At 41.1% G+C, this 27,153-nt stretch overlaps 1 protein-coding gene across 4 annotated transcripts in view, besides 1 other annotated feature; it reads left to right on the forward strand.

Annotated features, from left to right (window-relative positions):
* CDH20 (cadherin 20) overlaps window positions 1-21,559 on the forward strand; it is a 222,350-nt gene extending 200,791 nt beyond the window's left edge. For 2 of the 4 annotated variants that reach the window (NM_031891.4, XM_024451165.2), the window contains exons 8-12: window positions 2,273-2,409; window positions 4,804-4,925; window positions 10,807-10,924; window positions 15,758-16,009; window positions 19,970-21,559. In NM_031891.4, the coding sequence (NP_114097.2) occupies window positions 2,273-2,409; window positions 4,804-4,925; window positions 10,807-10,924; window positions 15,758-16,009; window positions 19,970-20,475 (1,135 nt within the window). In that variant the 3' untranslated portion in view covers window positions 20,476-21,559. Of the gene's footprint in view, window positions 1-2,272; window positions 2,410-4,803; window positions 4,926-9,747; window positions 9,819-10,599; window positions 10,706-10,806; window positions 10,925-15,757; window positions 16,010-19,969 lie in introns of those variants that run through there. The other 2 variants (XR_001753187.2, XR_001753186.2) reach the window with 2 other exon arrangements.
* Window positions 19,866-20,373: an enhancer, noted in NCBI's record as "H3K27ac-H3K4me1 hESC enhancer chr18:59221319-59221826 (GRCh37/hg19 assembly coordinates)". NCBI's record gives its function as "activates a minimal SCP1, AML or CMV promoter by ChIP-STARR-seq in primed H9 embryonic stem cells {active_cell/tissue: H9 hESC(primed)}" and the evidence as "EXISTENCE:reporter gene assay evidence [ECO:0000049][PMID:30033119]".
* Window positions 21,560-27,153: the final 5,594 nt, after the last annotated feature.

Genomic DNA, 27,153 nt, shown 5'->3' on the forward strand with positions numbered 1-27,153 from the left:
AAACATGAAACGTAAGTGTTGGCTGGGGTGTGTAGAAAAAGGGAACCCTTGCACACCGTTGATGAGAATGTTAGTACAGCCATTGTAGAAAACAGTATGGAGGTTCCTCAAAAAACTAAAAAGAGAATTACCATATGATCCAACAATCCCATTTCTGGGTATATATCCAAAGGAACTGGAATTAATATGTCAAAGAATGTCTCTACTTTCATATTCACTGCAGCATTATTCACAATAGCCAAGATACAGAAACAACCTTAGTGCCCATCAACAGATGAATGGGTAAAAATAATGTGGCATACATACACAATGGAATATTCGTTTCAGCCTTAAATATTCAATACAGCTTTAGAAAAGAAAGAAATTCTGTCATTTGCAACATGGATGAATCTAGACGACATTATGCTAAATTAGCCAAGCACAGAAAGACAAATACCACATGATCTCAGTTATATGTAGAATGTAAGAAAGTCAAACTCATAGAAGTAGAGAGTACAATAGTGATTGCCAGAGGCTGGTGGGTAAAAAGGAAAAAGAATCAAAAAGTTCAAAGCTTCAGTAAGGGGTAGTAAGTTCCTGTGATCTATTGCACAGCATGGTAACTGTAGTTCATAATAATGTATTGTATATTTCAAAATAGCTAAAAGAATAGATTTTAAATGGTATCATTGCAAAAAACAAATACATATGTGAGGTAATAGACATGTTAATTAGCCTGATTTGATCATTCTATGATGTATACATATATCTAAATACCACATTGTACGCCATAAATATATATAATTATTACTTGTCAATTAAAAAAATAAAAATGGCTGGACACGGTGGCTCACACCTGTAATCCCGGCACTTTGGGAGGCTGAGGCAGGTGGATCACTTGAGGTCAGGAGTTTGAGACCCGACTGGCCAACGTGGCAAAACCTTGTCTCTACTAAAAATATAAAAATCAGCCAGGGATGGTGGCAGGCACCTGTAATCCCAGTTACTTGGGAGGCTGCGGCAGGAGAATCACTTGAACCCAGGAGGCAGAGGCTACAGTGAGCTGACATCATGCCACTGCACTCCAGCCTGGGCAAGACAGCAAGACTCCACCTCAGAAAAAAAAAAGAATTAAAAAATAAAAATGATAAAAATTACTTGGCCTTTACCAAGGACTACATAAGGTTCTCATTGATGGTTCTCAATCATGGCTACATATCAAAATCCCTTATGGAGGGTTTTTAACATCCACATGCCTGAGCCTCCATCCATATTTATTGAGTCTTCCAAGATGGGGACCAGACGAGATAACACAGGTGAGATAACACAACAGAATTGGATTGCCAAATCAGGTTCAACAGGAAATATAGATCCTACCCAGGAGCTAGTTAACTAATGGCTCAAATGATACAGACAACAGCAAAACATGAGTCATTCTCCCCTTGGAGAGCTCTGAAACTGTCAGGCACAGGTGCCTATAAATGTCCTTTTCTTGCATAAAGATGCATGTTGGTCCAGACTGAACATGAAAAGTAGAAGCAATGGACGAAGTGCATTGCTCGAACGCAAAGATCCATTTTTGTGATGGAACATTTGCTTGTTATACATCATTAATTACATAGCTTATATGACATTTTCCAGTAGGCTGTACCCCACAAATTTATAAACTCTAGGTTTATTTACAGTAAACAACCTAGCCAGATCCGGTCCATCCTGCTAAAAGCATACCACAGTTAAGGACTCTCCAGCTAGCAAATACATTACCATTATTGTATTTGCCAGAAGGTGGGTCATTAGCATGTTAAGAAAGGGCCTGGTACAAGGCTTCTTTTCTCAATAGTTGATACAAATTATAAGGACTGGAACCACTAAACTACACCTTTTCTCCTTTTCTAGTTTCAGATTAGCATTTGAGAACTCATTTGAATACAATTCTTTTTAAACAAATATATACAGGACTCGATACTCAGGATGTCCCAAAATTCTTGGGGTAATTCCAAGCATTACGTAGCATAAACCATATTTAAATAGCTTACAACTTCCCCAAGACTGTCGGCACCCTGTTTATTTCATTTTTTGAATGAGAAAATTGAAGCAATATTTGTTTTGTTTATTGGAGGAGGAGGTGACTTTTGTTTCTGAACAAATAAAACCACGAATGCAGTCTTCCAGTAGCCATAACTCAGAAGTGGTGGAACCATGTTTCATATGGTAGGCACTCAGTTGTCTCATGTGGTATGCTGTCATATGCTTACCCAAATGCAAATGATGTACGTAATCCATGTTTCTGCAGATACTCCATTGATAGAAGCAGTGACCCTGGAAGATTTTTCTATGTTGACATTACAACAGGTGCCCTAATGACAGCAAGACCCCTAGACCGGGAAGAATTTTCTTGGCATAATATCACTGTCCTTGCTATGGAAATGAGTAAGTAGCACAGTAAGTTGGTCTCCATGCAGTGACAAAATATAGGTGTTATAGAAAGTGGAAGTTTCTAGAACTTGTTGTAACAAAAATTATATCCTTTAAGGGAAGAAATGGAAATCATGCTTTATGCAAGTAAGTAAATGCGTTCAGTTCAAATACTTTTTTGAGGCTCGCTTGTATACTTAGTCCTGTGCTAGAGATAAAAGCAAACAAAACATGGAAAACAGTGAAAGACAGCATTCTTATCCCAAGGAGCTATGAGGAAAAGGGAAGATTCCTGAGAAATCTAACAGGCTTTCAATCTTTAATATGATTGTGAATGTACAAAGAGTATAAAATATTACTGTATGAAAGGAAGCATTTATAACATATCACTCTTATTATACAAACATATACATATCCATGCCCACAAGAATTTGAGATACCTTACAATAAAAGGCAAATTGATTAACGTAATAAACTTATAAATGGAATGGAAGATTAATAACTACATTAATATATATTATAAACATAATAAAAATTAGATTATGTACTACTACATTCCTTTTTTTTTCCATACTGGTGATAGTAAAGGCTTAGAAAAATGGCAGTCCCTAACCTATTGGCTATATAACTAAACAGCCATTCAGGAGGGCAGTTTGGCAATATGTATTGAGATTCTCCAAAATATTTATACTCTTTCAGGAAATCTACTGCTAGTCATCATATTAAGGAAATAATTACAGATATCAACAAAGATTTAAATGTGAAAATTTCCACTGCCATGTTATTTTAAAATAAGGAGAAAATGGAAATTACTTAAGTGTCTAATAATAGGAGACTAAATAAATTATGGTACAACCTATAGTAAAATGACAATATAATACAGATGCTTTCAAAACATATTCAATGACAAAGGATAACCTTACCCTAAAATATTAATGTTCTGAATTCAATCTTTCTATTTTGCTTAAATGTAACTTCTGTGTCAGGGGGAGGGTGTATAACTCCAATTTTAGACACCCATGTTGTATAATGTCATATATCTAATGGATATCTCTGGTGGTAGGACTGTGGATCATATTCATGGATTCATCTATGCTTTTCTGGAATTTTCATTATTCCTTAGACAAACACCACTGTTATAATGAAGAAATAAATCTTAATTTTGCTAGCATATTATGGTAACCAAGCAATAGAAGTATTTAGGGGGGAAAGAGTAGAGCATAATTTTTTGGGAAAGAAAGGAAGAAAAATATGATTCAGAAGAACAATGCATTTTGGGATTTAGTAAAATTATTAACCAAGAATAATTTCTGTGTCTCGCAATTTCTGTTTTGTCTCCTTGGGGTGGTGACCAAAACAGAAAAAGACAGGAGGAGCACTACCAGAGCTGTGAAACTGTCTCTGCATGGCAGTGCCAAGCAAAAGACACAGATCACAAAGACACAGCTCCCCATGAGTGTCTATGACCCCAGCCAAAGATATGGATTTGGTGTGTGTTTGATCCTGTAATATCCTGTTAGTCCCTAAGCAGAAATAAATGTGCAGTGTTATCTTTATTCCAGTGAATAACTCGAAACCTTTGCAAATGTAATTCAAAGAACTGATGATTCCACAGGAAGAAAGCCAAGCAGTGCCACACAGTATGCATCCGATTGGCAATGGGCTCTTTTAAAGCCCAGAATACAGAACTGACCTGCCTTTAATTCCAAGACTTGAAGTCTGAGCCAAATGGGAGACTGAAAACCTCTTTTTAAGATTCGTTTTTTGACACTTGCTCCCTTTGTCTCACCCTTCCCTTCATACTGCTGATAGCAAAGGTTCACCAACACACACCTTATTCTGTCCAAACTTCTCATGTCCGGCCACACTCTTAGTAGGCAACACATGGATCCTATGCTCTTGCTACCATCTCCATGTACTTCATCCTCTCCTTTCAAATCCAGACTCACCAAGTAAATAACTACTTTTTGTTTGTTTGTTTGTTTTTGTTTTTGTTTTTGTTTTTGTTTTGTTTTTTTTTTTGAGACGGAGTCTTACTCTTTTGCCCAGGCCGGACTGCAGTGGTGCTATCTCTGCTCACTGCAAGCTCCACCTCCCGGGTTCACGCCATTCTCCTGCCTCAGTCTCCCAAGTAGCTGGGACTACAGGCGCCCGCCACCACGCCTGGCTAATTTTTTGTATTTTTAGCAGAGATGGAGTTTCACTCCGTGTTATCCAGGATGTTATCCAGGATGGTCTCGATCTCCTGACATCGTGATCCTCCCGCCTCGGCCTCCCAAAGTGCTGGGATTACAGGCGTGAGCCACTGCGCCCAGTCGTAAATACCGACTTCTAGCAAAAACCATTACTCTTTTTTTTCTTTTGGCATTACTAAACTCTCAGATTTGGTTTTCCTTGTGTTCCCTTTAGACAATCCCTCCCAGGTTGGAAGTGTTCCTGTCACAATCAAAGTCTTAGATGTGAATGACAATGCTCCAGAGTTCCCCAGATTCTATGAAGCTTTTGTCTGTGAGAACGCCAAGGCAGGACAGGTAAGGTGGCCTGTGGGTGGTGCACTCTGCTTAACCCCTAACTTCTGGAAACAATTGTTAGATAACCAAATTCACCATCAAAGCCATTTTGACTCCAGAAACGAACAGTTCACAAAACAGAGTCCCTAATTCCCGTATATCAGGTTTCAACCATTTATTTGTTAAGACAACTATTTGAGGCTAGGTGTGGTGGCTCATGCCTGTAATCCTAGCATTTTTGGAGGCTGAGGCAGGAAGATAGTTTGAGCCCAGGAGTTTGAGACCAGCCTGGGCAACATCGTGAGACCCAATCTCTAAAAAAGTGAAAAAACAAAAAACTATTTGGAACCTACATTACCTTTTATGGCCTAAACAGCACTTTGAGGGTGGCCAGATGCACACAATGGCCGTATAAGGTATGTGTCCACCTGGAAACTGAATTGTGTAGCACCCATGGCAGTAACACCTGCTCTGAGGCCTGGAAGTGAGAGACCAGGAAGACCAGGAAAAGGAGGAAAAAGCTACTCTTTTCCCGAGTGTGGTACCAATTCCTCAAAATATCTTGCAGTAGGACAAGTTTATTTTCTATATCTTTCCACCTCCCTTTCTTAACTTCTGGCAAGAAGTACCTTATTTAGGGACTCCCTGGCCTATCTCAGAATGCTGCCACCTAGAATGACCTACCTTCTCTCCTTCCTCAATTAAAACATCCATTTTCTTAGTGCTGCTCATGTCAGGTAAGTTTTGAGAGGAAAGTAATCCAAAAGGATAAAGGTCTACTTATTTGAAATATACCTCCATAATCTTCAGAGACATATTTGTGTATTTTTTAAGTATGCCCTTAAACCTAACTGAATATTTAGTTGATCAAATTCTAAGTGGTGTAATTAAGAAACATCTGGAACTCCATTTGGAGTGCCCATGTAGCAATGCATGTCAGGCTGTTGCCTGCCCTATAATCTGTCCATCTCCTCCATTCTGCTCCTGCTTTTGTAAGATGCTTTCCTCCCCTGTGTATGACCCAGCAACCCTACAGATCCCCTAATAGTCCTCATCTACTGCCCTTCCCCACCCCAGTATATCCTGTGGTCCTGTGGATGCTGGTGCTGGATCAATGGGCTGGAATGGTTTTAACATGAAAGCTGGGGAAGCGCATATTGATAAGGCAGGGACTCATGCATTGGTAATTCTGGCCCCTGACTGTAATCTAACTTTGCCTTCATGTATTAGTCCATTTTCATGCTGCTGATAAAGACATACCCAAGACTGAGTAATTTATAAAGAAAAAGAAGGTTAATGGACTCACAGTTCCACGTGGCTGGGGAGGCCTCACAATCACGGTGGAAGGCGAAAGGCACATCTTACATGGCAGCAGGCAAGACAGACTAAGAGCCAAGTGAAAAGGGAAACCCCTTATAAAACTATCAGATCTTGTGAGACTTATTCACTACCATGAAAACAGTATGGGGGAAACTGCCCCCGCAATTCAATTATCTCCCATTAGGTCCCTCCCACAACATGTGGGAATTATGGGAGCTATAATTCAAGATGAGATTTGGGTGGGGACACAGCCAAACCATATCACTTCACTTCTCTCACTCCCTGGGAGTAGTACCTCCAGCATCTTGCTGCACAGAGAGACTAGGTCTGCATAACCAAAACTTATGTTAGCTCTCTGAACTCACCAAAGATGGACTCGACGACACATCTTTACCATTTACTCAGCCAAAGCAAAAAGTGATTTATGTCCCTCAGGGGAAGAAAGATGTTCCATCACGATTCTGATCTAAATTTATCTAACAATCCTTGAAATTTGGTGCAATGGTCTATAGCCCTCCTAAAAGATTCTTTTCAACAAGTCTAGGATAATTCTCTTTCCACATCTAGTGAATTTCTAGTCTACTAAGACCTGAAATGTTATGCAGCCAATAAAAGTTATAATGCAGAATTTACAGCCCAAGAAACGATCCATGTTATTATAAGTAAAGAAGGGAGGTATAAAAACTACACCTACATGCTTGCAGTCATGTAAAATTATGACTGCAAGTGAACAATGATCGAGAGGGAAGATGCAAAAATAGTATAATTACTGTGCTAAGGTAGTTGAGTTTAAGTGAGGAGGTTTGGGTCTTTATTTTAATAATTTTTGTTTTATATTATAAAATTTATATATATGTAATATAAACTTGTTATAAAATTATATGAATATTTTGTTATGATAAAATAAGCTAATTTTAATCTATAATACAAAGAGGGTGATAAGTAGCAGAGTAAATTAAACCTCCTTCCCCCCAAAATAAAGGGCTTCAGAGTAGGAGAGGTTGCATTCTAACAAGTGAAGAACATTTCAACTATCTCTCCTGTTTTTGTAATCAAACAAACATAGTCCCCATTTCTAAATGCATCTTTTAATAGTTTGTTATACAGTGATCTGAAGTACAGATCTTTCACTTCAAGTTCAGTCTGTCCCATTTGTCACCTTTAGGCCAAGATACTGAAAATATTAACCTTTGATTTGGGCTCTGGGAAATGTTTTGAAGATTTTTCAAAAGCATACAGCTCAGAGATACATCTGGTTTATAAAGTATCGGGCCTCCTTGTGTTTACTTGTTGGATACTGTCCTCAGCTTCACATCTGACAAGTCCAGACACATGCTTCCCTCTTAGTAAGCAGCCTTGAAGGAAGCCCATAAAGAAATCAGATAACATACTTGGTGATGGACAAGGGCGGAATGAAACCAGCTGAGCAGAATATTGCACGACAAGTGGGGCTGAGGAAGAAATCTGACCTGCTGGGAGAACAGAGAGCAGGAGAGCGGGCCATGCGCTCCCAACCCAGACTTAGCGATTTGTATCTTCACTCACTCATGCTTTAAAGCCCTGTAAGCAACCAGCTCTGTGCCTCAGGCCCCAGTCTCACCAATATATACACAATACGCAGGCCAGATATTCTGAAACGACTTTCCCAACTATGTTTATCAAATTACGTAGAATCACCTATGTGTAACATGCCTCAAGAAATATGTTACCTCTCTATGTGTTTGGCACTACAAGCAAGCTGAAAAGTGCCGGCTCTGTCTCCAGGCAGGATAGGACAGGAGGGTAATCCTGGAGTGTGAGCAGCACTGATACTAGGATTGGCTGTGAGCAAGTTTATCTCCATTAGTCTCCTGGCCCTCACCTTCCTGGGAACTCCATTCCCCCTACTTTCAGGTTCAATAGTTGGGGTCTCCAGGAGGCATACCCTGAGATGGAGTTCCAGTATAAGGTGTTTATTAAGGAGGGCCCTTGGGGCCAGCACCTGTGGGAGGGAAGTGAAGGAAGCAGGACTGGGCAAAAGAAGTCCAGCTGCCATGCAGACTAACTGCCTTAGCTGACTTCTCAGAGAGTTCCAGAACTAGAGTTTCCCCAAGTTGAGATGGGATAGCCAGACCCGTATACTATCACATTAATTAGTCACTGGATGTCGCCCTGGAAGGATGTGGTGACCATGGGTGTCTCAGTCGGTTTGTATTGCTATAAAGGATTACCTGAGGCTGGGTAATTTATAAAGAAAAGAGGTTCATTTGGCTCATGGTTCTACAGGCTGTACAAGAAGCATGGTGCCAGCATCTGCATCTAGGGAGGGCCTCAAGCTGCTTCCATGCATGGAGGAAGGGGGAAGGAAGCCAACATGTGCAGATCACATGGTGAGAGGAAGCAAGGCAGGAGGGGAAGGTGCCAGGCTCTTTTTAACAATCAGCTATCACAGGAACAAAGAGAGTAAGAACTCAACTCATCACCAGGACGACTGCACCAAAACATTCATGAGGGATCCACCTGGATGACCCCAACACCTCCCACCAGGCCCCACCTCCAACAATGGGGATCAGATTTCAACATGAGATTTGGTGGGGTCAAATATGCAAACCATAGGAGTGGGTAGGTGGCTCTCTGCAATTGGCAATCCCTAAAGGGACTGGTAGGTGACGGGGAAAAATCCTTCATTGAAGGGGGATCTGAGCAACACAGTGTCCAAAAGGCCCCGATGGGAGCTCCCCCTACCACCACCCCCAGTTATTTAATCTTCAGCATATTGTGAGAGTTAGCTTTAGCTCCCCTAATTTACAGATGAAGAAATACAAACTAAGCAAGCCCAGCTGGGACCTCAAACTGACCTTTGATGTCCTGGTTCCTATGGTGGTAGAAGCACAGCTGGCTTTTAAACAGCAGGATTGGCAAGTCTACAGGGCTGGGCCCAAGATGGGTAGGAATAGTCTGTGCTGTTGCTTGGTAGAAGAGGAAACACATATGAAGGAGGCTGCCGTTCAATGCCTCTTCTGTAACCCCCTCAGCCTGCCAGCTCCTGTTCCAGTCGTCTGTTTCACACAGATTTCTTTAATAGCTTTTACATCATGGTCTCCACAGACTTCATGCAACTTACTCCTTTGAAAAACATTATGGAAAAGGCAAAACGTGGCCAGTGAGTCCAAGAGGAAGCCACCTGACCTCCTGCTCTCCCCACTCCAGAGTTCTGCTTCTGACTCTTGTCTGTTCTGCATTTCTACTCTGGGGATCCTGTGCTATCTTTGCTAGCTCTCCCTCCTGCCAACAAAATGTGACTCTCTGTGACCCATTCCCTCATGTCTGTTTTCTGTTAACCTGACATGGCCAATGCCAATGGGTCACTCACTTCTCTTCAGGTCATGGTCATTCTTAAATAGGGGCTTCTTAAAGACAGCAATTTAGCCCTGAAATATTGGGCCAGTGATGAGGTTAAGTAGATGAGGTGAGAAGAAAATATGGGGTCAAGCAGGACTTTGTGGCACCCGAGCCCTTTAACTCAAAGTCTCTTATTTTTTAGACTGCCTAGAAACGGCTGGCCGTGGTGGAAGAATATATGTTATTTTGATGTCTAACATCTGAAGTATTTAGGTAACATTTATCCTATGCCTACTAACATACTCAAGCCCAACCCTAAAGCAAAATTAAATCCCAAGGTGTGTGATGGCATGGAGACTGTGCAGGGAAGTTTCACATGGAACGGGAGAGTTCCCTTATCCCCCTTGCAGAACAGGGGTGTGCCCTGCTGCTCAAACCCCTAGGGGAAGCATGCAGACGGGCAGGTGCAGAAGCCATGGGGAGCGCTTTTGGGCTCTGGCCCAAAGGCAGCGTCTAGGACTCCTGAAGCCCAAGTGGGCGTGTGTTACAGTGTGCTCACTCTCAGCTACGCCTTCTGCAGACGGCTTGTATTAGCTCAATAGACCCTCTGCCTTATCACAAGGACACAGGGCCAGTGTGACAGCCTGAGTTCTTGCCCAGTGAACTGGAAAAATCAGATCACACATGGGCTGGAAGGCTGAGTGCAACGTTTATTGAGTGGTGAAGGTGGTTCTTAGTTAAATGGATGGGAAGCCAGAAGCGGGGGATGGAGTGGGAAGGTGATCTTCCCCCGGATTCGGGCTTCCCAGTGGCCAGATTCTTCTCCAACTGTCCCGGGCTGAACTTCCCTTGGCATCCGCATCATTCCACCATCGCTAGTCTGCCAGTGTCTGCTGGTGTGCTCCTCTTCTCCTCTCAACATCCAGCTGCTTGTGTCTGTGCCCGCTAAGGTCTCAAGTTCATATGGGTACAGAATGGGGGGCGTGGTGGGCCAGAGTGGTCTTGGAAAATGCAACATTTGGGCCCAAAAACAGGAGTTCCTATTCTCACTTAGATCCGTGGGCACAGGCCAGAGGATGGAGCCCTCACCAGGAACCCTGCCCTTCTCTACCCAGCATTTCCCTGCCCCTCTCCCATACCAATGATATCCTTCTCATAAGGTAAAACATCCCACCATCGCGTTTCCGGGTTTGGGATTTAACTGGGCCCTGGTGCTTTTTCCTTTGGCTCCAACTCACCTGATTTCATGTCCCTCCCTCAGCTGATCCAGACAGTGAGTGCGGTGGACCAAGATGACCCACGCAATGGTCAGCATTTCTACTACAGCTTGGCTCCTGAGGCTGCTAACAACCCCAACTTTACCATAAGGGACAACCAAGGTAATCAGGTGGATGGTTGGCTATCTGTGCTTTTCTACAGCATAGGCCAGCTACTTTGGGTTACTGTCTTATGCAAACAGTGTCAAAGGCTACCTGTTCCATACCAGCAGGGAGGATGTTAATAATTCAGTGTATTTTTTTTTTTTTTTTTGAGATGGGGTCTATGTTGGCCAGGTTGGTCTTGAACTCTTGGCTTCAAGCAGTCCTCCCATCTCAGCCTCCCAAAGTGCTAGTATTACAGACATGAGCCACCGTGCCCAGCCTCACAGTGTCTTTTAAAGTTTTGTTTCAGAACAACAAACACAGAGAACCCTTTGCCAACTCTAAAACTCATTCAGTCAGTAAGTCGGCAGATGTTTACTGAGTGCCTGTCCCGTGCCAGAAACACTGCAAAGCACAGAGGCAAAATCCTTCATTCCCACTGGTAGCAGCCCTGTTCATATGTTCTGTAACAACGGGAAAAATCTGAGAAAGATAGAAAGTGATCTAGGATAAAAAATAAAATACAATAAAATAAAAAACCCCTGGGGGCACATTTCTAGGCAGAGATCAAAGCAGGAAACAGTAAAAAGCTCTCCAAACAATAAGGAGACAAAGGATAATAGAGATAACAAAGAGCAAATACAGGACCATAAACACAGTTTTGGCACTGAAACAGCTTTATTACTTTAGAATGATTTAGAGAAATACTTTCAGGTAGGGTTCCCTATCCATAAACTGCTCCCCGCTATAGCTTTGATGGAACAGAATTCTAGGCCCCTTTTTTCCAACAAGCATTCAGACCAGCTAAGGGGCTCATAGACCCAGCACACTCTTCTTTGGGCACAGATGGGAAAAGGAAGGACTTTTGTTCTGTAGCCAGATGATTTGCTTCAAAAGAAAAAAAAAGGTCAGGGCAATGGAAAAAATAAGTTAAACTGTCAAATGAACCTCATCTGTTGTTAACTCTGCTGCCAGCTAGCCAGCTGACCCTGGGAAGGTCATCACTTCTTGAGACTGCAGTAGCGTCATTTTCATTCCGATTCTAAAATATTAATTGCCGCTTTGTAAAAATCTAAGCAAAGGGTAACAAAAAGTCATGATTAGGTTAGGCACGCCTGGTTTTAGTTTCAAACATCAATTATTTGAGATTAAAAGTATTACTTCAACCCCACATGACAGTTTTCTGCTGTAAAACTTGAGATTCTCAAACCTGTTTTCTTCTAAATGGCAAAGCATTCTTCTAAGTCATCCCTTCAACCTCCTACATGTCACCATAAAAATACTATAATAATTCTGGAAGGAATGGTAATATGAATTATAAAGGCAGAAATACTTCAATTAAATATCCTGAAGTTTTTATTGGGTCAAAATTTTGAACTATTCATTTATCTGCTTCATAGGGAAACTATTCCCGCAAAAAGTGCTTTCAACCTAGGATTGGCTTTACAAAGGCAACCCTGGGGAGGGAAAATAACACATTGTAACACATTATATTTTTTCTTCAACTGTTCAGCTAAGCTATCATTCTAATGAGTGAAACAAAATGCAGCAAAATGCTGCAAATTTCTTAAAGAGGACTTTGGGCACCAATTTATGGAACCAATTCCTTAAAAAGATGGGCCACCGGCACTGGATGACTATAGTAAGACGTGACTCATCTCTTGGAAGGTTTCCCAAAACAGAAGTCAGCACATCTTCAACAGAAAGCATGAACTCTTAATCTCCAAATGACAATTTATCTCACGAGTATCCTTTACTGGGGCTCATTTTAAAACTGAACAAGTCTAGGCACAGTGGCTCATGCCTGTTACTCCAACACTTTGGGAGGCTGAGGCAGGAGAACTGCTTGATACCAAGAGTTCAAGACCAGCCTGGGCAACACAGCAAGACCCTATCTCTGAAAAACATATTTTAAAAATTAGCCAGGCATGGTGGCACACACCTGTAGTCACAGCTAGTTGGGAGCCTGGGACAGGAGGGTCACCTGAGGCCAGGAGTTTGAGATCAGCCTGAGCAACACACCAAGACCCCATCCCTAACAATTTTTTTTAAGTAGCCAGACATGGTGGCATGCACCTGTAGTCCCAGCTACTTGGGAGGCTAAGGTGGGAGGATCATTTGAGCCCAGGAGTTCAAGGCTGCAGTGAGCTATGATCAGACCACTGTACTCCAGACTGGGTGACAGAGTAAGATCCTGTCTCTAAAAAAAGCCACCACAACAAAAACTGACTAATATAGGGCAGATCTACTGTCAACTACCTCTGTTCCTGTGCCTGAAACATGATGTCCTTTTATGAACACAACAGGGCACTATCTCCAGTAAAGCCTTTTTTTACTTTTCAGCCCCAAAACATTATGAAAAGAATTATGTGTATATAGTACTTTACAGTTTCAAAGTATTTTCCCATACCTTATTTGATATTTACAATAATTCTGTGAGGCTTTAAGGAAGTTATTAATCCCTCTGATTCTTATTGTCCCATCTGATAGATGAGGAAAGTAAGCAAATGGCCCAAGACCAGAGTCAATAAGCTGAATAAGCATTAAAACTGGGATTAGAAATTGAGTCCTGTTTTACCATGCCCCCCCACTACACCCCCGCCCCACACACACAGTGTTCTGTGTCACCTCAGAAAAAAATGCTGTTTCCAAATAAGTTACTAAAGTCCTCATTATCACATTCAACAAAAATTTTCCAAGTGGCTACTATATGCCAGGCCCCTTCCAGCACTGGACTCAGCAATGTGATGCTCTGATATTTTTCTTTAATCTTAAATAATTCTTAGATCAAGAAACATATATATCGTAGGTATAATACTTTTATGAATTTCGGCTCTAGTCAGACTTTCTAAAAGTCTCATGACCTCACCTGGATTAAACCAAAAAAATAAAAAAAAAGTTCTGATTAGAGAAAAACCTGCTTTCTGAAAAAACAAGCAATTAAAACTACAAAGTGGAATTGATAGTATTTAGCTATTAAGTCTGGAACACAGAAAGGTGCACGGGTTGTTTGGTAGGTGGAAATATGAATATAATCCTCAGGTTGGCATCCTTTCTCCATTGGGAAGAAAATAAGAAGTAGCCTGTATCAAAGCAGGAAGAGGTTATGCTTATCTGAATTTTTTTTGACAGTTAATATTACTAAACTAAATAAGCAGTTATGTAGCACAATGGAACATGTACATGTTTTGGAGCCAGAGAGACCAGAGTTCAAATCCCAGCTCTGCTACTAACTAGGTTAGTGGCTTCAAACAAATAATAAAATCACTCTAGGCCTTACTTCTATTTCTGAAAACGAGTAAGATTATTACTATGTCCAAATTGTGAAGATTGAGTGAGATACTGCATGCAAAGTCCAGGTACATGGCACATGAGCCTTTAGTAACAATAGCTGTTAGCATAAAAAGCAGAGTGGAGGAAGAAAAGTTAATTAAGGGGTAATGTGTTACTCAGAATAGCCCAGATTATGCTATGGGAACAACTACCACAAAAATCTCAGTGGCTTAGCACAACTACAGTTAATTTCTTGCTCACATACAGCCTGCTGTGGGTCTGAGCTCAGCGTCCCAGGCCGCCCCGCTCTGCATCTCACACCCTGTGGTTCTTTCTCAGTAACTACAGCAAGGAAAGAGCATGGAGACTTACACACCAGCTCATACAGACTTCTGCCTAGAAGTAACACAAATCACTATTGCTCATCAACTAAAGCAAATCACACAGACATACCCACATTTAAGAGGATAGAAAAGTGTAATCCTTTATTATGTCCAAAATGGGAAGAAGAACCAGAAATATTGATAATCACTAATAATGTTTTCTTAGGTTAGGCTCTCAAAATTTTTTGTGATGTTCTAGACTCTTTCCTATGAAATATGAAACACATCCATGGGACCTCTGTGTTGGTGGTATTAGCTTTGAGAATCACTTCTTGCATGTCCTACTACATCTCTCAAATTTTTCCTCTGCTGAAAATAATCTGAGCTTTGCAAAAGTATATCTACTTTAGAATTCAAACCTACACCAGGAAACTTGAGAATGTAGATTTTAAAAATGAAAACTCCCACAACACAATATGTGAATATAAATGTAAACACACACACATACACATCCCAACTTTGTAGAAAATATCTAATAATTTGACTAATCCCCTTTAAAACTGGAGGAAAGATTTCTAGTATTGATCAGTAACAAAGTTTCACCAAGTTCATTTTAACTGCTTAAAGTGAGACCACCAACCCAGGAGAAATAACAAGGTGTGTCATATGATTAGGGGATTTCAAAGAAGCTTCTACTAAATGAGCAGGTTCTTTAGGAAACACAGGAGTTGGTGACTGCATTTCAGAAGCATAAAAGAAAATAGTAAAAGACGTGAATTCCAGACAAAGCGGCAAAAATAAGTAATCTGCCACAGTCACACAGGCTCCTCAGCATTCTTTTCCTGGAGGCGCAAAGCAGCACTGGGGCCTTGGCAAGCTGCTGAGCAGGAACAAACAGTGACCACAAGTCACCAGTGATTGTTCTTTTCTGTCAAGCTTTCCCAGGGACATTTTTGTTAGATCTGAAGTCTGACAGTTTGCCTTGGGCACTTTATGTCACAAAGGATAAGACAGACTCAAAAAAAAAAGAGGCTTTCTCTTCTTAGGCCTCAGGGTTTTGCCTAAAAGCAAGCAAAAAGCATGGTTTCTGAATCCAAATGCTGATCCAGGCAAACCCGCCATGGTTGACCACTACCAGGGAATATCTGACTATCCTCTTTCCTTCCTACACCCTGCCCCTGCCCCCTTGCTTTCCTCAATCCAAGAAATTAATTCACCTTCCCTTTTCCAATCCTGGAACCCCTCCTTCTTTCAGATAACACAGCACGGATTCTAACCAGGAGGTCTGGTTTCCGGCAGCAGGAGCAGAGTGTCTTTCACCTGCCTATCCTGATAGCAGATAGCGGGCAGCCCGTGCTGAGCAGCACAGGCACACTGACCATCCAAGTGTGCAGCTGTGATGACGACGGCCACGTCATGTCCTGCAGCCCAGAGGCCTACATGCTCCCAGTCAGTTTGAGCCGGGGCGCCCTCATTGCCATCCTCGCCTGCATCTTTGTCCTCTTAGGTGAGTAAGGGGCTGCTTTCCCTTCTGTGGAGTCCTGCCAGTGCGCACTCAGACATTTGTTCATTACCTTCCTGACACAGCTATTCAGAACTGGTCTTCCACACCTTGCTTACTCAAAAGGTGGTAGAGTGAGGCTGCACAAAAAACAGTAAAGAAATTGAGGACAGTCCCTTCTTCGAGGTGTCTGTGGCAAGATCAAAGCACATATACTTATAAAGTATCTACTATGAGCTGGGGCACCACACAAGGTGCTAGGATTAATAAAACAGACAAGTCCTGGCCTTCCTGAGTTTACTTCAGAACAAAGCAGGTTCATTTTGACATCATAGAATCAAAATTACAATTTAGACAGGATTTGATGATCACCTCTTCTAACCCCTTCATTTAAGTAGTAGCTAAGTCACAAACGGGTAAGTGACAGGCTCAAAACCAAAGTCAGAGGCACAGCCAGGGCTGAAATGCAGGCAGGCTATATACACTGGGCACCCCTGTGGCTCAAAGGCACTGCCTTTCTCCTAAATGCTCATCCCGATTCTGGAGGTGGTATTACAGGAAGGGAAGAGGGATAAGGTATCCTGGTTGGAAAAGTGACAGGGATAGACGCCACTTCAAACAGGGTAGTCAGGGAATCCCTTACTGATAAGACCTTTGAGCAGAGAGCTGAAGGAAGTGATGGTGTGAACCACACAGATTTCTGGAGAATAAGCTGTTTGGGGTGATTAGTACACCTCCTAGGCACCATGGCCATCTAACCAGGAACAGTGACTAAACAGGGTCAGTTTGCCTCTGCTGAAGAAATAAGGACATAACAGGCTAGCAGTGGCAGAACACTACTGGGGTAAGGAACCCTTCCTTCTTCCTCTCAAGTCATACTGCAAGGTGGCTCCCCAACTCCCTGGTATGTAAGGCCATCCTTGCAATTCTTTTCTAATTCCACACTCAAAAACAGTGAAATAAAAACACCTAAACCAACTCTTGCAAAAAAGAAAGTATCTGTACATATATCCTTGCTCTTCTTATTGAACTAATCTATAGCATATATATCATGCTTAGAGAAAAACAGATTTAGTAGATACTAGTATTATTCAATACAAAAGAAGTCCGAGTTTTCTGAGGGAAAAAGCCCTGAGGATTGAAATTAGAATAGAGGTACAGATATTCACATACACCCTTGATCCCAAGTTCACCTCTATACCAAGAGACAGACCAAAGAAAGAAGTTCCTGTGTAAAATGTCAACACTTGATTTTCTAGGTAGGTCCGTGCAATGTGCTTCTCAAAATACATTTAAAAATACAACATGTGGTTTAATTTTGTTGTTTTAGTTCAGTCCTACGTAAAGAGAGGAAGAGTATAAATAAGTAACCTTTCTAAGTTCTTGGATCCCTGTGTCAAGAGAAAATTGTTACGGTTTCTGGTCCCTGACTGCATTGACAAGTAAAACCTCCCTGCAATTCCTTGAGTTTCCATAAGGTGGCATTGGGAGTCCTTTAGCACAGAAGTGGATGACCTGTAAGAGGCCTTTGAAGAAACTTGTTCCTGGGAGGAATTTCCAGACTGGCTGTCCTTACTTCTATCTTTGGAAAATGTCGAAGTTAAAAGTTCGCCCTGGCCCACAAAAAGCCATCATTACAGAAATACTGATTTAAAGAGACTGGCTTGGAGAGGCTCTCAAGTTAAAAATGGTGTGCAAGGGACAATTTATCTTATCCCTTCCCACCCACGATGATGTCTTGTCTTTTAAACCGTACAGAAAAAGTAAACAGTTTTCAGGAGCTAAATTGAGCAGAGCTGTCATAAAATCCTCACAGTTTTAAGTACCCTTACTTCTAAGAGTACACATCCCACATTAAAAATAATTCATCAAACTTTAAGATTTGACTTGCATTTGTCAACAAAATACTATATTTTATAGACAACTAAATAAATTAATTCTGACTTCCTGGGTTTTTTTTTTTCATGTCTCATATATGTATCTAGTGCCTAGAAAATCTCATAAGCTCTACGCACCGTGCCTATAGTACACGAAGAATAAACCATCCCTAGAACTAATTCTCTTCTGTCAGAGAAGCCTTTCAGCTGAATAAGACCATTTTCCTCAAAATCTGATTTTCAGGGCATCATGTAATATTTGTTATGTAATATTTGTTATTTACCTAATTAGATTACCTTAAAAAAAAAAAGACATGTAGCTGTCTTTATTTTTCAAAAGACGGACTAGTTCTATATAAACGGCCTAATTCTCCATGACCATCAGAATTCTCTCCAGCAAGGTATTCAAAAGACTTCCAATTTTGCTTCCTAGCGTTATCCAAAATACCGCCCCTACCACTTCAAGGTCACCTCTGTGAAGCCCTACCCAGTCTCCCAGGTAAAATTCACTGGCCCTGCCTCTGTACTCTCCCAGTGACACTTGTGGCTCTAACAGCCCTTATCACTGTCTGACTTGCATTAATTATCAGCATCCATAATCTCCTTAGATTACAAGCTCACAAGAGCAGAATCCATGTCACACTCAATATTGTTTCCCCATTGCTTAGCATAGAGGATTAAAAATACTTGGGTTTAATAACTTTACTGAATCCTGCAAACACAGCATGCTCACTTCGAATCTCACGTCTCCAACCTGCATCAATCCAAATCACACTCCAACCTTTCAGGCTCGATTCAAGCCCACGCTTCCTTAGAGTCCTATTAGTCTCTTTTTCTCTAGGAATCCCACCCTCCTTTCAGTCCACGCCTCGTATTTTTGCACACAGGGAAAATACACATGAGCGTATCATCGTTTCCTGTGTATGTTTTGTCACCAAAGCTATCTGGGAAAATATTACGTATTAATGTCATTAATTGCAATTGATAAAAAAGCACATCTACATTCAAAAAAATTTTTAAATCATTGTTGTGAGTTTTATTAGTCGGTAATCTTTTACTGCATGTATGAATGTACTCCACTTTCTCCCCTTGGATAAACTGGGGTCTTATTTTGCAGTGCTGTCAAACTGTCACTGTTCACCAGCTATAACAAAGCACACCAGAAAAAAAAAAAATCAATAGCAGTTCTACAGCTAAAACCTCAACACTCTTCCTGGAAAACGTTTTCAGAGAGATAAATAGCTCAATGGGATTATCTCTATCTCTCCTTTAAACCCCAGCGAACACATTCTAGGGGGGAAAAATGCATTTGTTGGGATAAAATTTTATCCAAACCTGCAAGGGCACATCTAACAGTGTGGTGTTTCTTTGATAACATGATGAATTATATAAAAGGCCACTGCTCATTCTCTGCCTTCCATAAATACCCTTGGGTCCAGAAAGCCACAACCACCTCTTTAATGAAAGGCTTCTCTGAGGAACCTGAGTTTATTGGACCCCAGGGATCACTTATGTTCTGTTGTTTTTTAGAGGTATAAAAAGACTACAACTTTGGTGCACACTTAGTATGTGTGTCTCTATGCATATTAAGATATGATTATATACAGAGTAGAATCCTATTAAGATGCTAATATACGGAAGCAGAATTCCACCTACATAATAAGACTTTCACATTATAAGAGGATAAATGTATATTTTTCATCATATAAACAGAGCACGTGATCTGGTCCTTAGAGTATGTTGGTCCATAGCAGGCCTTTGTGCTTTGTTAGTGGGATTTTAAATTGGGTGTTAGGTGTAGACACACAATTTCAAAACAGCAAGCTGATGGTAAGCGACTATAGGCAACTTTTTCTAATTAAACCATTTGAAGAAATACAGGGCTTCATTGTCCACAACCTGACTTACAGAAAGAGGACAAAGTGGACTTAAATTAGAACTCCCCGAGGTTTCAGATATCCAAAAGCTATCTCTGAGCCCTCCACTCGGTAGCCCTTCCCCTATCCGTGGTGAATCAAGACTACTTCTAGTCACCGCACACACAGCCACATCTCCTCGGTAAACACACTCTCCTTTTTGTTCCTGGCAGTGCTGGTGTTGCTCATTTTGTCCATGAGGCGGCACCGGAAACAACCATACATCATCGACGACGAGGAAAACATCCACGAGAACATCGTCCGCTACGACGACGAGGGCGGCGGCGAGGAGGACACCGAGGCCTTCGACATCGCGGCCATGTGGAACCCCCGGGAGGCGCAGGCGGGGGCCGCCCCCAAGACGCGGCAGGACATGCTGCCCGAGATCGAGAGCCTCTCCCGCTACGTGCCTCAGACGTGCGCAGTGAACAGCACTGTCCACAGCTACGTGCTGGCCAAGCTCTACGAGGCCGACATGGACCTGTGGGCACCGCCCTTCGACTCCCTCCAGACGTATATGTTCGAGGGGGACGGCTCTGTGGCGGGGTCGCTGAGCTCCCTGCAGTCGGCCACGTCGGACTCGGAACAGAGCTTCGACTTCCTGACGGACTGGGGGCCCCGCTTCCGGAAGCTGGCCGAGCTCTACGGGGCGTCGGAGGGACCCGCGCCGCTGTGGTGACGGAAGCCAGGAGGCAGGCGCGCGTCCAAATCCAGACGTTCTCCGCGGGTGCTTCGCGGACAAGGTGCAGCCAACCACACGAGCAATACTGTGCTGGAGAGTGAGAATGGGGGTGAGCAGGCGAACAGAGCTCTCTCTGGATCAGCTTTACTTGGGTAGATTAAGTTAAATAAGCAAAAGGAAACCCAGAAGGAAGAGGGCAGAATCTTTAATTACCTTTTTTTCTTTTCTTTTTGATTTTTCTGACACTGTGTGCGAAGGCTTGGAGTCCAAGGTGTTCTGACAAGGGTGGCTTTTCTCTGCCATTCGCTAAGGCCTTTGTCACTTTTCCACCACAGAAAGGCTCTGGCCTTGGATACAGAGATGCCAATTGAAAGCAGAAAGTTCTACTCTCGTATCTGTTTTTTATCTTATCTTATTCTCCATTTAAGAGTTTTGCTGGCTCAAACCACAGAAACCAACCCACAAGAAAGAACAAAAAACTTGTTACTCAGTGAAATTAACCTACTTGTTCTGGGATGGATGGAATTTCCCGTAACCCTTTTGAGACAAGGTTAAGACTGAATCAGCCTTGCATGGGGGTGGATGGGTGGGAGGGTGGGTGAAGGAAGAGACATTGACTTTATGCTCAAGTTTAGTGGCTGAACCAAGAGATGTTGGCATTACAGCTCATCCAACGCCATCAAGTTAGAGTGCTCGTGTCTCCTCTCAGCTATTTAACTGTGCCCCTGCAAAATTGTTCAGAATGAAACCAGAAAAATCTGCCTCTTTTGCACTGTAGATGTCTCTTCCATGTGCCAAATGTGGAGATTAGATGCTACAAATGAAAGCCAAATAAAAAAGAAGTATCTGACAAAAGCATGGGTTAGAGGGCTTTCCTAATCTGTGTGAGGTCAATCCAAGGGATGTTTACATACTGTAGATAACCTACTTGAACAAAAATCAGTATTATAGAGAATAAATGGATGTAAGAAAATTACATGTACAAGTTTTGTATATTTGTTAATAATTTTGGTAATAAATATGATGTACTGCATCTCAGTACCTTAGCACTTCTTTTAATAAAAGTTAAATAGAAGGAAAAGTCTATTGTGAATTTGTTTAATTGCTGAACAGGTAGAAGATGACTTTGTAATCCTGATCTAGCCTCAGGCTCCCGGGGTTGGGGCTAATTTGTAAGGCAAAAGCAATGGAAAAGAAGTGTGAGGCTGCATTCTGTTTCAGTAGCTAACCATATGAACATTATGGTTCAAACTGTTAAGCTTTTAATGAACACCCTCCATTTCTTCATCCCTGAAAAGAGCAAAGGGTGGTTTGGTAATATCAACTATACAATGGTGAATTTAGCCCATATTTTTCATTTTGCAAAAGGTTATTACACATAGCCCCCAATGAGGCAGGCTACTGTGCTACTTACATCTCTATTTCATTGGCAAATTGAGCTCACAGATGGTTGAAACCATATTTTATTCATCTTTCCTTTTGCTACAATAGCTAGCATACTCTTCTGCATACAGTAGGTGCTTAACACTTCTTGGCTACATGATGGGAGGGATCTCTATTTGACATTCTATTACTAAAAAATATTTTACACAACTATCCTCACAACTGAGGACAAATTGTGAACAAAATCATTCCCTGAGAGCCTTGATTATAGCAACAGTTCTCAAATTTTAATGTATCAGAATCACGTGAAGAAATTGTTAAACTACCTCACCCCTAGAATTTATGATTCAGTCGATTTGGGGCAGTTTGTATTTCTAACATGTTCCCAGGAGATGCTGATGCTGCTGGTCCAGGAACCACATTTTGAAAACCTCTGATATGTAGTTACTCACTCTCTAACACATGAAGATTAAACTATGTCCCATCTGTACTGGGTCCCATCTTCCCGCAGAGTGGTGTTGTGAATTGTTTTCTCAGTAAAACATGAACAGTTTACAGAAATGTAAGGAAAGCTGATGAGGGTCTGGGAGGCAGTAGGATGTGCTTTTTTGCATATTACACATTACATGGTACCATTACATGGTACATTAACAGCCACCAAATTCTCTTCAGCCTTCAGCATACTAACCCTTTCTTCCCATGAAAGGCAGGCAGCTCTCACACATCCTCTTCAAGGATAGAGTGCAATGTAAAAATAAATACATTTAACAAAGCAAAAGAAAAAGCATGGACTTGAGTCCAAACTAGGCTTTACAATATACCAATTATATGGATGTAGGCAAATCAACCTCTATAACATTCTTCCTTCCTACCACAGCCCTGAGGATAATTTTGTGAGTATTTCACTTTGTACTGCTTATGTTACAACTGAGAACAGCTGTTATCCTAACCACAGGGCGTTATCATGCCCCACATCCTGCAAATGTGGTCCCCATGATATTGGGCATGAAGTAATTAAACAAAATCTCCTGAATCTTCTGGTCCCTGGGAGGATAGTTAATGGTGTAATACAGGAAGCGTGATTGAAGCACAAAATAGATCTATTTCAGCTTCATACTCTAAGCTAAGAGATTCCCACTCCAAATGAGTTTTAAAATTCCCTTTCTACTGCCACAATGTAATACAAATGCTGATCCCTCTGGGAATAAAGAAAAAGAAAACCATCATCATCTCTATACAGACAATGTGATCAGGTTAGGCCAGAGAGCTGTAAAATTATTCAGCCATTTGTTTGTCAACAGGTATGACAGCTAGCCTATAATTTACATGTTGGAGGGAAACAGGAGAATCTGTAGAAACCAATTGATGAGACTCAATCTGAAAATGTATTCTGAATAAGAACACAAGCAAAGATAAAAATTAGCAATGAAAAATTTAAAAAAGAGAATATTCAAGCATGGCATATAGCAAAGACAAACATGGGGTTGTTCACACAAGAAAGAATCTATGAATCCTGAAAATGGTATTCAACAAGTTAAAAATCAGTGCAGGCACATTGATTAAAAGTTGTCATTAATTCACTAATATTGCAGAACTAGGCCTTGATGACAGAATTCACAGTATTTCCATATAGTGCTGGGACTATATGAATGTAGGACAGACACACTTTACAAGCAGTTCTCATTGCAGATTGACTCACTGTCATATCCATTTGTCATTTTTACAATAAAGAACCTTCAACAGATTATTATATATAAATATCTGGATTGGGGAAGCTTCTGCTTTATTCTTAAAGATCAAGTTTCTGATAGAAGAAGTCGATAAAATTAGGCCAAGTGGTCCTCTTTTATTTGTTATTTTTTTAAGTTATACTTTAAGTTCTAGGGTACGTGTGCACAACGTGCAGGTTTGTTACATATGTGTATATGTGCCATGTTGGTGTGCTGCACCCATTAACTCTTCATTTTCATTAGGTATTTCTCCTAATGCTATCCCTCCCCCCTCCCCCCACCCCACGACAGGCCCTGGTGTGTGATGATCCCCACCCTGTGTCCAAGTGTTCTCATTGTTCAATTCCCACCTATGAGTGAGAACATGCGGTGTTTGGTTTTCTGTCCTCGCGAAACTTTGCTCAGAATGATGGTTTCCAGCTTCATCCATGTCCCTACAAAGGACATGAACTCATCAGTTTTCGTGGCTGCATGGTATTCCATGGTGTATATGTGCCACATTTTCTTAATCCAGTCTATCATTGATGGACATTTGGGTTGGTTCCAAGTCTTTGCTATTGTGAATAGTGTCACAATAAACATATGTGTGCATGTGTCTTTATAGCAGCATGATTTATAATCCTTTGGGTATATACCCAGTAATGGGATTGCTGGGTCAAATGGTATTTCTGGTTTTAGATCCTTGAGGAATCGCCACACTGTCTTCCACAATGGTTGAACTAGTTTACACTCCCACCAACACTGTAAGAGTGTTACTATTTCTCCATATCCTCACCAGCACCTGTTGTTTCCTGACTTTTTAATGATCGCCATTCTTACTGGTATGAGATGGTATCTCATTGTGGTTTTGATTTGCATTTCTCTGAGGGCCAGTGATGATGAGCATTTTTTCATGTGTCTGTTGGCTGCATAAATGTCTTCTTTTGAGAAATATCTGTTCATATCCTTCGCCCACTTTTTGATGGGGTTGTTTGATTTTTTCTTGTAAATTTGTTTAAGTTCTTTGTAGATTCTGGATATGAGCCCTTTGTCAGATGGGTAGATTGCAAAAATGTTCTCCCATTCTGTAGGTTGCCTGTTCACTCTGATGGTAGTTTCTTTTGCTGTGCAGAAGCTCTTTAGTTTAATTAGATCCCATTTGTCAATTTTGGCTTTTGTTGCCATTGCTTTTGGTGTTTTAGTTATGAAGTCCTTGCCCATGCCTATGTCCTGAATGGTATCGCCTAGGTTTTCTTCTAGGGTTTTTATGGTTTTAGGTCTAATATTTAAGTCTTTAATCCATCTTGAATTAATTTTTGTATAACGTGTAAGGAAGGGATCCAGTTTCAGCTTTCTACATATGGCTAGCCAGTTTTCCCAGCACCGTTTATTAAATAGGTAATCCTTTCCCAATGTCTTGTTTTTGTCCAGTTTGTCAAAGATCAGGTGGTTGTAGATGTGTGGTATTATTTCTGAGGGCTCTGTTCTGTTCCATTGGTCTATATCTCTGTTTTGGTACCAGTGCCATGCTGTTTTGGTTACTGTAGCCTTGTAGTATAGTTTAAAGTCAGGTAGTGTGATGCCTCCAGCTTTGTTCTTTTTGCTTAGGATTGTCTTGGCAATGTGGGCTCTTTTTTGGTTCCATATGAACTTTAAAGTAGTTTTTTCCAATTCTGTGAAGAAAGTCATTGGTAGCTTGATGGGGATGGCATTGAATCTATAAATTACCTTGGGCAGTATGGCCATTTTCATGATATTGACTCTCCCTATCCATAAGCTTGGAATGTTCTTCCATTTGTTTGTGTCCTCTTTTATTTTGTTGAGCACTGGTTTGTAGTTCTCCTTGAAGAGGTCCTTCACATCCCTTGTAAGTTGGATTCCTAGGTATTTTATTCTCTTTGAAGCAATTGTGAATGAGACTGCACTCATGATTTGGCTCTCTGCTTGTCTGTTATTGGTGTATAAGAATGCTTGTGATTTTTGCACATTGATTTTGTATCCTGAGACTTTGCTGAAGTTGCTTATCAGTTTAAGGAGATTTTTGGCTGAGACGATGGGATTTTCTAAATATACAATCATGTCATCTGCAAACAGGGGCAATTTGACTTCCTCTTTTCCTAATCAAATACACTTTATTTCTTTCTCTTGCCTGATTGCCCTGGCCAGAACTTCCAACATTACGTTGAATAGGAGTGGTGAGAGGGGGCATCCCTGTCTTGTGCCAGTTTTCAAAGGGAATGCTTCCAGTTTTTGCCCATTCAGTATGATATTGGCTGTGGGTTTGTCATAAATAGCTCTTATTATTTTGAGACATGTCCCATCAATACCTAGCTTATTGAGAGTTTTTAGCATAAATGGCTGTTGAATTTTGTTGAAGGCCTTTTCTGCATCTATTGAGATACTCCTGTGGTTTTTGTCTTTGGTTCTGTTTATATGCTGGATTACGTTTATTGATTTGCATATGTTGAACCAGCCTTGCATCCCAGGGATGAAGCCAACTTGATTGTGGTGGATAAGCTTTTTGATGTGCTGCTGGATTTGGTTTGCCAGTAATTTATTGAGGATTTTTGCATTGACGTTCATCAGGGATATTGGTCTAAAATTCTCTTTTTTTGTTGTGTCTCTGCCAGGCTTTGGTATCAGGATGATGTTGGCCTCATAAAATAAGTTAGGGAAGATTCCCTCTTTTTCTATTGATTGGAAAAGTTTCAGAAGGAATGGTACCAGCTCTTCTTTGTACCTCTGGTAGAATTCGGCTGTGAATCCGTCTGGTCCTGGACTTTTTTTGGTTGATAGGCTATTAATTATTGCCTCAATTTCGGAGCCTGTTATTGTTCTATTCAGAGATTCAACTTCTTCCTGGTTTAGTCTTGGGAGGGTGTATTTGTCCAGGAATTTATCCATTTCTTCTAGGTTTTCTAGTTTATTTGCATAGAGGTGTTTATAGGATTCTCTGATGGTAGTTTGTATTTCTGTGGGATTGGTGGTGATATCCCCTTTATCATTTTTTATTGCATCTATTTGATTCTTCTCTCCTTCCTTCTTTATTAGTCTTGCTAGTGGTCTATTTTGTTGATCTTTTCAAAAAACCAGCTCCTGGATTCACTAATTTTTTTGAAGGGTTTTTTGTGTCTCTATCTCCTTCAGTTCTGCTCTGATCTTAGTTATTTCTTGCCTTTTGCTAGCTTTTGAATGTGTTTGCTCTTGCTTCTCTAGTTCTTGCTTCTCTAGGGTGTTGATTTTAGATCTTTCCTGCTTTCTCTTGTGGGCATTCAGTGCTATAAATTTCCCTCTACACACTGCTTTAAATGTGTCCCAGAGATTCTGGTATGTTGTGTCTTTGTTCTCATTGGTTTCAAAGAACATCTTTATTTCTGCCTTCATTTAATTATGTACCTAGTAGTCATTCAGGAGCAGGTTGTTTAGTTTCCATATAGTTGTGCAGTTTTGAGTGAGTTTCTTAATACTGAGTTCTAATTTGATTGCACTGTGGTCTGAGAGACAGTTTGTTAAGATTTCTCTTCTTTTTTTTATTATTATTATACTTTAAGTTTTAGGGTACATGTGCACATTGTGCAGGTTA

Source organism: Homo sapiens, chromosome 18, assembly GCF_000001405.40.
Source record: "Homo sapiens chromosome 18, GRCh38.p14 Primary Assembly".
Lineage (NCBI taxonomy): Eukaryota > Metazoa > Chordata > Mammalia > Primates > Hominidae > Homo > Homo sapiens.